Source organism: Homo sapiens, chromosome 17 (genome assembly GCF_000001405.40).
Source record: "Homo sapiens chromosome 17, GRCh38.p14 Primary Assembly".
Lineage (NCBI taxonomy): Eukaryota > Metazoa > Chordata > Mammalia > Primates > Hominidae > Homo > Homo sapiens.
Genome location: NC_000017.11, coordinates 16,768,961 through 16,782,622, shown reverse-complemented (window position 1 = coordinate 16,782,622; position 13,662 = coordinate 16,768,961). Strand labels below are relative to the sequence as shown.

At 36.8% G+C, this 13,662-nt stretch overlaps 1 protein-coding gene across 5 annotated transcripts in view; it reads right to left on the bottom strand.

The window, feature by feature from the left end:
• Positions 1-4,741: 4,741 nt before the first annotated feature.
• CCDC144A (coiled-coil domain containing 144A) overlaps positions 4,742-13,662 on the bottom strand; it is a 111,165-nt gene continuing 102,244 nt past the window's right edge. For 3 of the 5 annotated variants that reach the window (NR_130142.2, NR_167766.1, NM_001382000.1), the window contains 2 exons: positions 10,604-10,646; positions 4,742-9,126 (listed from right to left, as the gene is read on the bottom strand). Coding sequence is in view for 3 of the 5 variants with exons in the window: in NM_001382000.1 (NP_001368929.1) it covers positions 8,990-9,126; positions 10,604-10,646 (180 nt within the window). In the remaining 2 variants the exon portion in view is untranslated. Of the gene's footprint in view, positions 9,127-9,447; positions 10,024-10,603; positions 10,647-13,662 lie in introns of those variants that run through there. The other 2 variants (NM_014695.3, XM_017025430.2) reach the window with 2 other exon arrangements.

Here is a 13,662-nt window from a genome sequence, read left to right as displayed (position 1 = left end):
AACCCAGAATTTCACATCTGGCCAAACCAAGCTTCATAAGCAAAGGATAAATAAGATGCTTTTCAGACAAGCAAATGCTGAGGGAACTTGTTACTACCAGACCTGTCTTGCAAGAGCTCCTGAAGGAAGCAGTAAATATGAAAAGGAAAAACCATTACCAGGCACCAGAAAAACACACTAAAGTACAAAGAACAGTGACACTGTGAAGCAACCACACAAACAAGTTAGCAAAATAACCAGCTAGCATCATGATGATGAGATCAAATCCACATATAATACTACTAACCTTAAATCTCAATGTGTTCTCCAATGAAAGACACAGAATGGCAAGCTAGATAAAGAACCAAGACCCATCAGTATGCTGTATTCAAGAGACCCATCTCACACACAAAGAAACACATACGCTAAAAATAAAGGGATGGAGGAAAATTTACCAAGCAAACAGAAAGCAGAAAAAAACAGAGCTTGCAATCCTAGTTTCTAACAAAACAGACTTTAAATTAACAAAGATCAAAAAAGACAAAGAAGAGCACTACCTGTTGGTAAAGGGTTCAATTCAACCAGAAGAGCTAACTATCCTAAATATATATGCACCCTATACAAGAGCACCCAGGTTCATAAAGCAAGTTATTGGAGACCTTCAAAGAGACTTAGACTCCCACACAATAATAGTGGGAGACTTTAACACCACAATGACAATATTAGACACATCATGGAGACAGAAAATTAACAAAGATATTCAGGACCTGAACTCAGCTGTGGATCAAGTAGACATGATAGATATCTACAGAACTCTCCAACAAAAAACAAGCGAATATACATTCTTCTCATAGCCACATGACACTTACCCTAAAACTAATCATAAATTAGGAAGAAAAACACTCCTCAGCAAATGAAAAATAACTGAAATCATAACAAAGAGTCTCTCAGACCACAGCACAATCAAATTAGAACTCAAGATTAAGAAATTCACTTAAAACCACACAACTATATGGAAATTGAACAATCTGCTCCTGAATGACTTTGGGGTAAATAATAAAATTATGGCAGAGATCAAGAAGTGTTTTAAAACTAATTAGAACAAAGAGACAACATAACAGAATCTCCAGGACTCAGCTAAAGCAGTGTTAAGAGGAAAATTTATAGCACTAAATGCCCACATCAAAAAGAGAGAAAGATCTCAAGTTAACAACCTAATATTACAACTAAAAGGACTAGAGAACCAAGAGGAAACAAACTCCCAAGCTAGCAGAAGACAAGAAATAACCAAGATCAGAGCTGAACTGAAATAGAGACACAAAAAAACCTTCAAAAAAATCAATGAATCCAGGAGGTTTTTTTTAAATTTACTTTTTATTTCAATAGGTTTTTAAGGAACAGGTGGTGTTTGGTTATATAAATAAGTTCTTTAGTGGTGATTTTTGAGATTTTGGTGCATCCCTCACCCGAGCAGTGTACACTGTACTCAATGTGTAGTCTTTTATTTCTCACTCCCTTCCCACCATTTCCCCTGAGTCCCCAAAGTCCACTGTATCATTCTTATGCCTTTACATTCTCATAGCTTAGTTCCCACATATGAGAACATATGATGTTTGGTTTTCCATTCTTGAGCTACTTCACTTAGAAGAATGGTCTCCAATTCCATCCAGGTTGCTGCAATTAGAAGAATGGTCTCCAATTCCATCCAGTTTGCTCCTTTTTATGGCTGAGTAGTATTCCATGGGGTGTGTGTGCACATATCACATTTTCTTTATCCACTCATTGATTGATGGGCATTTGGGCTGGTTCCATATTTTCACAATTATGAATTTTGCTGCTTATAAACGTGTGTACAAGTATCTTTTTTGTATAATGACTTCTTTTCCTCTGGGTAGATACTGAGGAATGGGGTTGTTGGATCAAATGGTAGATCTACTTTTAGTTCTTTAAGCAATCTCCACACCGTTTTCCATAGTGGTTGTACTAGTTTACATTAGCATCAACACTATAAAAGTGCTCCCTTTCCACCACATCCATGCCGACATCTATTATTTTTTAATTTTTTTAATATTGCCATTCTTACAGGAATGAGGTGATATCGCATTGTGGTTTTGATTTGCATTTCCCTGATCATTAGTGATGTTGAGCATTTTTCCATATGCTTGTTGGCCATTTGTATATTTTCTTTTGAGAATTGTCTATTCGTGTCCTTAGCCCACTTTTTTATGGGATTGGTTTCTTTCTTACTGATTTGAGTTCTTTGTAGATTCTGAATATTAGTCCTTTGTTGGATGTGTAGGTTGTGAAGATTTTCTCCCACTCTGTGTGTTGTCTGTTAACTCTGCTAATTATTTCTTTTGCTGTGCAAAAGCTTTTTAGTTTAGTTAAGTCCCATCTATTTATCTTTTGTTTTTGTTGCATTTGTTTTGAGCTTCTTGGTCATGAAGTCTTTGCCTAAGCCAATGTCTAGAAGGGTTTTTCCAATGTTATCTTCTAGAATTTTTAAGGCTTCAGGTCTTAAGTTCTTGATCCATCTTGAGTTGATTTTTGTATAAGGTGAGAGATAAGGATCCAGTTTCATTCTCCTAAATGTGGCTAGCCAATTATCCCAGCACTATTTGTTGAATAGGGTGTCCTTTCCTCACTTTGTTGAAGATCAGCTGGCTGTAAGTATTTGGCTTTAATTCTGGGTTCTCTATTCTGTTCCATTGGTCTATGTGCCTATTTTTATACCAGTATCATGCTGTTTTAGTGACTATGGTGTTACAGAATAGTTTGGAGTTAGGTAATGTGATGTCACCAGATTTATTCTTTTTGGTTAGTCTTCCTTTGGCTATGTAGGCTCTTTTTTGGTTCCATATGAATTTTGGGATTATTTTTCATCATTTTGTAAAGAATGATGGTGGTATTTTGATGGGAATTGGATTAAATTTGTAGATTGCTTTTGGCAGTATGGTCATTTTCACAATATTGATTCTACCCATCCATGAGCATGGGATGTGCTGCCATTTGTTTGTGTCATCTGTGATTTCTTTCAGTAGTGTTTTGTAGTTTTCCACGCAGAGATCTTTCACCTCCTTGGTTAGGAACATTCCTAAGTATTTTATTATTATTATTATTATTTGTAGCTATTGTAAAAAGGGTTGAGTTATTGATTTGATTCTTGGCTTGGTCGCTGAAGGTGTATAGCACAGCTACGGATTTGTGCACACTTGTGTGTAACTCTGTATCCTGAAACTTTGCTGAATGCATTTACCAGTTCTAGAAGCTTTTTGGATGAGTCTTTAGGGTTTTCTAGGTATACAATCATATCATTGGGAAACAGCAATAGGCAGACTTCTTCTTTACCACTTTGGATGCCCTTGATTTCTTTCTCTTGTCTGATTGCTCTGGCTAGAACTTCCAGTACCATGTTGAATAGAAGTGGAGAAAGCGGGCAATCTTGTCTTCTTCCAGTTTTCAGGAGGAATGCTTTCAACTTTTCCCTGTTCAGTATAATGCTGGCTGTGGGTTTGTCATAGATGGCTTTTATTACCTTAATGTATGTCCCTTCTATGCTGATTTTGCTGAGGGTCTTAATAAAATAAGGATGCTGGATTTTCTCAAGTGGTTTTTCTGCATCTATTGAGATGATCATGTGACTTTTGTTTTTTAATTCTGTTTATGTAGTGTATCGCATTTATTGACTTGTAGATGTTAAACCATCCCTGCATCCCTGGTATGAAACCCACTTGATCATGATGGATTATCTTTTTGATATGTTGTTAGATTCAGCTAGCTAGTATTTTTTTTGAGGATTACTGCATCTCTGTTCATCAGGGATGTTGGTCTGTAGCTTTCTTTTCTCATTATGTCCTTCCTTGCTTTTGGTATTAGGGTGTCTATTAGTCTGTTTCAGTATTAGGGTGTGTATTAGTCCATTTTCACACTGCTGATAAAGACATATCTGAGACTGGGCAATTTACAAAAGAAAGAGGTTTATTTGACTTACAGTTCCACATATTTGGGGAGGCCTCAAAGTCATGGTAGAGTCAAGGAAGAGCAAGTCACATCCTACGTGGATGGCAGCAGGCAAAAAGAAAGAGCTTGTGTAGAGAAAGTCCTGTTTTTAAAACCATCAGATCTTGTGACATTCACTCACTGTCATGAGAACAGCATGGAAAAGACCCGCCCTCATGATTCAATCATCTCCTACTGGGTCCTTCTCACAACATGTGGGAATTATGGGAGCTAAAAGATGAGATTTGGGTGGGGACACAGAGCCAAACCATATCATGGTGATTTTGGTTTCATCAAATGATTTAGGGAAGATTTCTCTTTCTCTATCCTGTGAAATAGTGTTAATAGGATGAGTACCAATTCTTTGAATGTCTGATAGAATTCAGGTGTGAATTCATCTGGTCCTGGACTTTTTTGTTGTTGGCAATTTTTAAATTACCATTTTCAATCTTGCTGCTTCTGATTGGTCTGTTCAGAGTCTCTATATCTTCCTAATTTAATCCAGGAGGGTTGTATATTTCCAGGAATTTATCGATCTCCTGTAGGTTTTCTAGTTTATGGATGTGAAGATGTTCATAGTAGTCTTGAATAATCTTTTGTATTTCTGTGGTATCAGTGGTAATATCTCCCATTTCATTTCTAATAGAGCTTATTTGGATCTTCTCTCTTCTTTTCTTGATTAATCTTGCTAATGCTTATCAATTTTATTTATCTTTTCAAAGAACCAGCTTTTTCATTTATCTGTTGTATTTTTTTGTTTCAATTTCATTTAGTTTTGTTCTGATTTTGTTATTTCTTTTCTTCTGCTGGGTTTGGATTTGGACTGTTCTAGTTTCTCCAATTCTGTGAGGTGTGACCTTAGATTGTTTATTTGTGCTCTTTCAGACTTTTTGATATAGGCATTTAATGCTATGAATTTTCTTCTTAGCTCCACTTTTGCTGTATCCCAGAGTTTTTGATAGGTTGTGTCACTATTATCGTTCAGTTCAAAGAATTTTTAAATTTCCCTCTTGATATCATTGTTGACCCAACAATCATTCAGGAGTAGGTTATTTAATTACCATGTATTTGCATGCTTTTGAGTGTTCCTTTTGGAATTAATTTCCAATTTTATTCCACTGTGGTCTGAGAGAGTACTTGATATAATTCTGATTTTCTTAAATTTACTGAGACTTGTTTTGTGCCCTATCATATGGTCTATTTTGGAGAATGTCCCGTGTTCTGATGTATACAATGTATATTCTATGCTTGTTGGGTAGAATGTTCTGTAAGCATCTGTTAAGTCCATATGTTCCAGGGTATAGTTTAAGTCCATTGTTTCTTTGTTGACTTTCTGTCTTGGTGATCTGCCTAGTGCTGCCAGCGGAGTATTAACATCCCCCACTATTATTGTGTTGCCAACTACCTCATTTCTTATGTCTAGTAGTAATTGTTTTATAAATTTGGGATCTCCAGTATTAGGTGCATATATATTTAGGACTGTGATATTTTCCTGTTGAACTAGTCCTTTTATCATTATATAATGTCCCTCTTTGTCTTTTTAAAACTGCTGTTGTCTTAAAGTCCGTTTTGTCTGATATAAGAACAGCTACTCCTGCTCGCTTTTGATGTGTCCATTTAGACGAAGTGTCTTTTTCCAACCCTTTGCCTTAAGTTTATGTGAGTCCGTATGTGTTAGGTGAGTCTCCTGAAGACAGCAGCAACTTGGTTGGTGAATTCTTACCCATTCTGCCATTCTATATCTTTTAAGTGGAGCATTTAGGCCATTTACGTTCAACATTAGCATTGAGATGTGAGGTACTATTCTATTGTAACGCTATTTGTTGCCTGAGTACCTGAAAACCTGGAAGCGTTCCCTTGAAAACTGACACAAGACAAAGATGCCCTCTCTCACCACTCCTATTCAACACAGTATTAGAAATTCTCACCAAGGCAATCAGGCAAGAGAAAGAAAGAAAAGCTATTCAAATAGGAAGACAGGAAGTCAAACTATCTTTGTTTGCAGATGATATGATCCTATATCTAGAAAACTCCATCATCTCAGCTCAAAAACTTCTTAGCTGATAAGCAACTTCAACAAAGTCTCAGGATACAAAATCAATGTGCAAAAGTCACTAGCATTCCTATACACCAACAACAGGCAAGCCGAGAGAAAACTCATGAATTAACTCCCATTCACAATTGCCACAAGAAGAGTATAATACCTAGGAATACAGCTAACAAGAAAAGTGAAGGACCTTTTCAAGGATAACTATAAACCATTATTCAAAGAAATCAGAGATGACACAAACAAATGGAAAAACATATGCTCACAGACAGGAAGGTTCAATATCGTGAAAATGACCACACTGCCCAAGGCAATCTGTAAATTAAATGCTAGGCCCATTAAACTACTATTCACATTCTTTACAGACCTAGAAAAAGCTATTTTAAAATTCATATGGAACCAAAAAAGAGCCCAAATAGCCAAGACAATCCTAAGCAAGAAGAGCAAAGCTAGAGGCATCATGCTACCCAGCTTCAAACATACTACAAGACTACAGTAACCAAAACAGCATAGTGCTGGTACAAGAACCGACACATAGACCAATGGAACAGAATAGAGAACCCAGAAATAAGACCACACACCTACAACCATGTGATCTTTGACAAACCTGACAAAAGGAAGCAATGGGGAAAAGATTCCCTATTTAATAAATGGTGCTGGGAGAACTGGCTAGCCATATGCAGCAAATTGAAACGGGACCCCTTCCTTAACCCATATACAAAAGTTAACTCAAGATGGATTAAAGACTTAAATCTACAACCCAAAACTATAAAAATCCTGGAAGAAAACCTAGGCAATGCCATTCAGGACACAGGCAAGGGCAAAGATTTCATGACGAAGATGCCAAAAGCAATTGCAACAAAAGCCAAAATTGACAAATGGGATCTAATTAAACTAAAGAGCTTCTGCACAGCATTAAGAACCTATCAACAGAGTAAACCGACAACCTACAGAATGGGAGAAAATTTTTGCACTCTATCCATCTGACAAAGGTCTAATATCCAGCATCTACAAGGAACTTAAACAAATTTACAAGAAAAAAAAACTCAACCCCATTAGAAAGTGGTCAAAGGACACAAACAGACACTTTTCAAAAGAAGGCATACATGCAGCCAACAAACAAAAAAACTTCAACATCACTGATCATCTGAGAAATGCAAATCAAAACCACAATGAGACACCATCTCACAACAGTCAGAATGGCTATAATTCAAAAAAATGAAAAGATGCTGGCAAGATTATGGAGAAACAGGAATGCTTTTACACTGTTGATAGGAGTGTAAATTAGTTCAACCAGTGTGGAAGACAGTGTGGTGATTCCTCAAAGATCTAGAACCTGAAATACCATTTAACCCAGCAATCCCATTACTTGGTATATACCCAAAGGAATATAACTAATTCTAGTATAAAGATACACGCACACGTATGTTCATTGCAGCACTATTCACAATAGCAAAGACAAAGAATCAACCTAAAAGCCCATCAATGATAAACTGGATAAAGAAAATGTGGTACATATACACCATGGAATACTATGCAGCCATGAAAAGGAATGAGACATGTCCTTTGCAGGGACATGGGTGGAGCTGCAGAACATTATCCTCAGCAAACCAACGCAGAAATAGAAAATGAAATACTGCATGCTCTCACTTACAAGTGGGAGCTGAATAATGAGAACACATGGACACATGGCGGGGAACAACACACACAGGGGCATGTGGGATGGTGGCGGGTGAAAGAAGGGAGAGCATCGTGAAGAACAGCTAATGGATGCTGGGCTATTATTAATACCTAGGTGATGGGATGATCTGTGCAGCAAACCACCATGGCACATATTTACCTATGTAACAAACCTGGACATCCTGCACATCCTGCACATGTACCCCTGAACTTAAAAGATGAAAATAAAAAATAATAATAATTGCAGGTCACCTGATAGAATGCAGTGAGAAGATCATGGGATAACTTCTGTGATACTCTTGCCAAAAAAAAAATTATCATCTAAATCTTATCATAAAAAAAGTTCAGAGAAATCCAATGGAGGGACATTCTGTATTATTGGACTTTACTCTTCAAAAGATTTAAGGTCATAAAGGTCAAAGAAAAACTGAGGAACTGTTCCAGACTGAAAGAGTCATGACAACTAAATGAAATTCATGGACCTGAATGGGATCCTTCTGCTACAAAGAACATTATAGACAATTAAGAAAACTTGAAAAGAAACTGAGAATTAAATGATCAAGTGTATTGATGTTAACTTTCCGATTATGAAGTAGTTATATAAAATGTCCTGACTTGTGGGAATACCCACATACCAGATGTGATGGCATAATGTCAGCAATTTACTCTCAAATGGCCCACAGGGGGAAAGCTGTTTTTCCTAAAATGTGGAAATTTTCTCCAATTTTAAGACTGTTTCCCAAAAGTTAATCTAATAAAGAAATGAAACAATAAATAAAAAAGCAAAAAGCCTTAGGCAAACCTTATTTTTCCACAAGGAAAGATCTAAATAAATCAGTGCTTAAAATTAAAATTATCTAAGTTTGATTGCACTATAACAATCGTAATACATCCAAACATTGACAATGACCACAGTACCAGTATACCAAAATGATGTCTATCTAAACTTAAATCTATCACTATGTATAAAGATAAAATTATAAAATACAAACAAGCCATCAATTGGCTCCACTAAATTACTAATGGCAACTTGATTATTTGGCTGTTTAAACAGCAAACATTTGGGCAGTTCGAGTATGTAAAACTCAGTAATACTGGTTTTCATTTGCAAAATCCACTTAAAAGTTAGCTGAAGAGGCCAAGAAACATTATTTAAAATACTATATAAATTTTCATCAGACATGTATAATATAGAATATTTCCCTTTAGTAAAAATGTTCACATCATATATTTAATGGGAAACAAAATATCATGTGAATAGCCCAAATAAAATTGCCTTATCTTTCAGAGTATGTATTTTCTTCTTAAAATCTGTGCATATTCTTTTGTTACTTCCAAAACTGGATCTTGATTCAGATTTTCCTTGTGTGTAAATCCTAGAGGAGAAGCTATATAGGATCCAGGTTCATATTTAGTAGCAGCTGAAAAAAAAAGCAAGAATTATATTATTATTATTATTGTTATTATTTTAAGATAGGGTCTCACTCTTTCACCTATGCTGGAGTGCCATGGTGTGATCACAGGTCACTGCAGTCTTGTCCTCCCAGGCTTAAGCAATTCTCCTGCCTCAGCCCCAAGTACTTGGAACTGCAGGCATGAGCCACTGTGCCTGGCAAGCTTTTGTATTTTTTATAGGGGCAGGGTTTCGTCATGTTGGCACAGGCTGCTCTCAAACTCCTGGGCTCCAGTGATCTGCCTGCCTCAGGCTCCCAAAGTGCTGGGACTACAAACGTGAGCCAACATGCCTGGCCAAAGAATTATATTCTATATATTTCATAGTTAACTAAGTGCAAATCAGTAAAAAAGAGTTGAGAGCTTTTTCAGTGTTAACAAGAATGAAAAGTATGTATGACTACAATGCTAACTTATTATTAGATAAGAATCTGCCCACAGTTGCACACTAAATTAATGATCATTGTGGTTGTGTATCACAGCTTCTGGTTTTCTCATTCTTCATTCATTTATTCAACAACCACATGCTAAGGTACTAGACTATGCCCTGGAGTTACAAGATGAAGATGATACAGTCCACCCCTCAGCAATCATATGCTATAACCTGAAAAAGCAGACAAATAGGCAATTTCCATACCAAGTCATAGATACCCTGACAGGTATAAAACAGGGCACTATTGGAATGCAAGAGGGACACCTATCCCAGTTTTGTCTCGATACTGTAGGCTTTTCGGTGGAGGCATGGTTAGTGGATACCTGAAGGATGAGAAAAAAAGGTTGGCAGATAGAGCAAAGAAGCAAGTGCAAAGAGCTGGAGGAGAAGGACGAGCACTGTGGAATTCTGTGCAGTCCAGTTTGGCTGGATCCTAGAGCAAAGGGGCAGAGTAAAGTAAGTGGTGAGAGATAAGCCTGAGTAACTTGACAAGAACCAAATGAATGTGGGTGTTTATATTACATGTTAAGGAATTTGGAACTTTTTCTGAGGGCAAAAGTAAACCAATGACACTGTAAATGACTGGAGATTTAAAGTGTTACCTCTCAAGCGACTGCTTATAAACTGTAACTGCTTGAATAGGTTACTAGATGAGACTGGGATGTTTTGGCCTTAAAAATCACTACCATAACCCTGAGAAGTTGATGATGCTTCTGTTTTCTGAGAACCGTTTCTGTGTGCTGGCTGACAATTCCATAGGGATGGCAGAAGTGAAGAGTAGAGCCAGACTTCTTGAGCTATTTTTTTCAAGCTATGGAACGTGATGAATTCATGAGGCATAAGTATGCTCTTCATTATACATGTTCAAGTTTTCACATCTTTCATTAGATGTATATGAAAGAATATTTAATGTAGTATCTACTAGCCCAAGAACGGAAAGGGATGTCGTTTGCAGTTTATTTCAGATATATATTACTTAATCTAAATTTAATTCATAAATTTTGGTAACATACCTGCTACTTCTGCAGTTAGATCATTTTGCAACTTCTGCTGCATCTGAAATAAGTCAAATATTATTTATAACGTTTAAGAAGATACATTATCATGGTAAGGAGCATTAATTACAAAATGCGGCCTTTAAATAATACTTTTACAGACTAGACCTAACTTGAAGATTGCTTAAATTAAAAATATCATATAAATTCCTACCTATTTTAAGTTTAGATAATGGAGAACATATATGTGTTATGCTGTTTAGATTAATCTCACAAAAGTACAATTAATATTGGTCTGTTGGAGCTATGTCATTTCAAAAGTGTGATGTTTTCCCTTATTAGTACAGAGGTTACACAATTCAAGTCATATTCTGCAATGAATGCATTACTTTCCCATTCTTATCAAAACTCTGCCCTTTATCAAGGTCTAACCAGTTTTTCACTTTAATGAATAGTTCCTTACAATGAACTCCCCATTCTCCACTTTTAGAAAATAATAATTTCAAAGTATGTTCTTTGCTATTAATTCAGCACAGAATCTTTAATACATACTTGAAGAAAGCAGTATTGTTGTGATGCCATGTGAAAGTTCCACTGGCAAAAGATTAAAAATATTATGCTATTATGATTAACATTTCTTCATTCATACGGACACAAAGATTTCAGAAAATTTACATAAAAACAAGGATAAATACAGGTTAGAGCCAGTTTTCAATCTTAGTTTCTTTGATTCATGAGTGTCTAGAATTAAAAACTAGGAAAACAATTTAGAGTTATTTAACTGCAACTTTGATTTCTTTTCAGAAATTAGTACCCATTTTTTAAGCATCTGACAAGTTATAGTTATCTACTTAATTATGAAAGGTGTCAGAATATTTCAAACTTATTGCCAGTGTCCCTATCTAGAGTGCTCTTATTTAATTTTTTTTTAGAATAGGTATTCTCTCACTAAATGCCTAGAACGGGGTCTGAGATAGTTTGTGGTGATAAAGATAATGATATCTAATGCCTTTAGAAATTTTAGGTGTCAAGTCAATTTTTTTTTTTACTAACAGGTTTACCAATATTTTGAGACTCCTTTCCATAACATTTCTGTGACAAAAACATTATAGATAGGCTTTATAGAGTAGGTAACATGACAACAGCATTACCATCCAGGCCTTATAAAAGTAATAATTCAAGAAATGATCCTTTTCAAGCTATGTCCCACAGAAATCTAAGGTTCCACAGAGGATGCTGAAGGATTAAGGGATAAGAAAGTCACAGCTTCAGAGCACTGATCCTTCCTTTAGTCAGGCAGCACTACTTCTGTTTTCTATAATGTGGTTTTATGCAATTTAAAAAAGTTCCATTCTTAAAAAAAAAAGAGATTTACTTAAACGTATGAATGTCACTGATTTAGTCAAAGTCCTTAATTTTACATAAGAAACAAAACAGGCTCGGAGAGACTGCAGCTTGCCTGAGGTCACAAAACCAATTAGTTACAAGGTAGGAGTGGGCTTCAGATCTTTCACTGAGCCTGGAGTTATTCTATGCCAGCACCTTCCTTCATATTCAGAAAAGAAATACAGATTTTTAAAAATAACTCAGGCTGGGCACGGTGGCTCACACCTGTAATCCCAGCACTTTGGGAGGCCGAGGCGGGAGGATCACAAGGTCAGAAGATCAAGACCATCCTGGCTAACACAATGAAACCCCGTCTCTACTAAAAATACACAAAATTAGCCGGGCATGGTGGTGGGCGCCTGTAGTCCCAGCTACTCAGGAGGCTGAGGCAGGAGAATGGTGTGAACCCAGGAGGCGGAGCTTGCAGTGAGCTGAGATCGTGCCACTGCACTCCAGCCTGGGTGACAGAGTCAGACTCCGCATCAAAAATAATAATAATAATAAAAATAAAAAAATAACTCAGACAGTCCAGGTGTGGTGGCTCACGCCTGTAATCTCAGCACTTTGGGAGGCTGAATTGGGTGGATCACAAGGTTAGGAGTTCAAGACCAGCCTGGACAATATGGTGAAACCCCGTCTCTACTAAAAATATAAAAATTAGCCAGGCGTGGTGGTGTGCACCTGTAGTCCCAGCTACTCAGGAGGCTGAGGCAGGAGAATCGCTTGAACCCGGCAGGCAGAGGTTGCAGTGAGCAGAGATCACGCCACTGCTCTCCAGCCTGGGAGACAGAGTGAGACTCTGCCTCAAAAACAACAACAACAACAAAAAAGAGAAAATGCATCTATAAACTGTCATGATGCTCTATAATGTTTAAGCATGAGACAAAAAATAGTAGCTCTCCAAATTGTAAGTTATGAATCAAATTTAAAGAACAATTAATATCATAACTTCTGGCTAGTACCAGTCAAGACACTCAATTTATAAAGAACCCATTTTTCAAACCGCAGAACAGAAAACTTGAAGGAGAAAATCTTTAGTTGAACCAAGCAAGCAGAAATTAAGAAAACTGTTCCTTAAAAGAACTATTCATTCTCCTCCAAATAAGACGTGGTTTAGGAAAATCAATCAAGTCAATTATCCATGTTGTGAGTTATTTATAGAAAAACTGAAAACACAAAACAGATTTCTCTTTACCATCTACCATACGCCTGTCCAACTTCTCATCATTAATTTGTACATACAAAGACATGGGATTAATTTCAATTATCACTTAAATCCAGCCATAAATGATAGGAGAACCTTCATTTTCCTGGCCTCAGGTTTCAAATGAGGACTTAGACTCTCTCTACCTACAGCTTCCTCTTGAGAGGATATCAGATCTACCTAATGGGTGAATTTGGGCAAAGCACACAGTGTGCTTGCTTGGCTCAGGGTCTCTTTCAAAAGATGTGTCTGCCCACAGTGACATGAGTTCAGGTCTGCTGTCATCTCTGCAGTAAGCAGCATGCACCTGCGATGGGTGTCAAGCATTTGTTTTCTCCACTTAAAACTCTGTGGATTAGTGCCTAATCTGGGATAAAATACTGTGGCTGCACATCTGAGCCACATCCTCCCATTAGTTATCATGAGTCTGCAATAGAGCTAGTGTGTTGATGTCCATCTATCTGACTCCTGTGTTCTGAACTCAGAA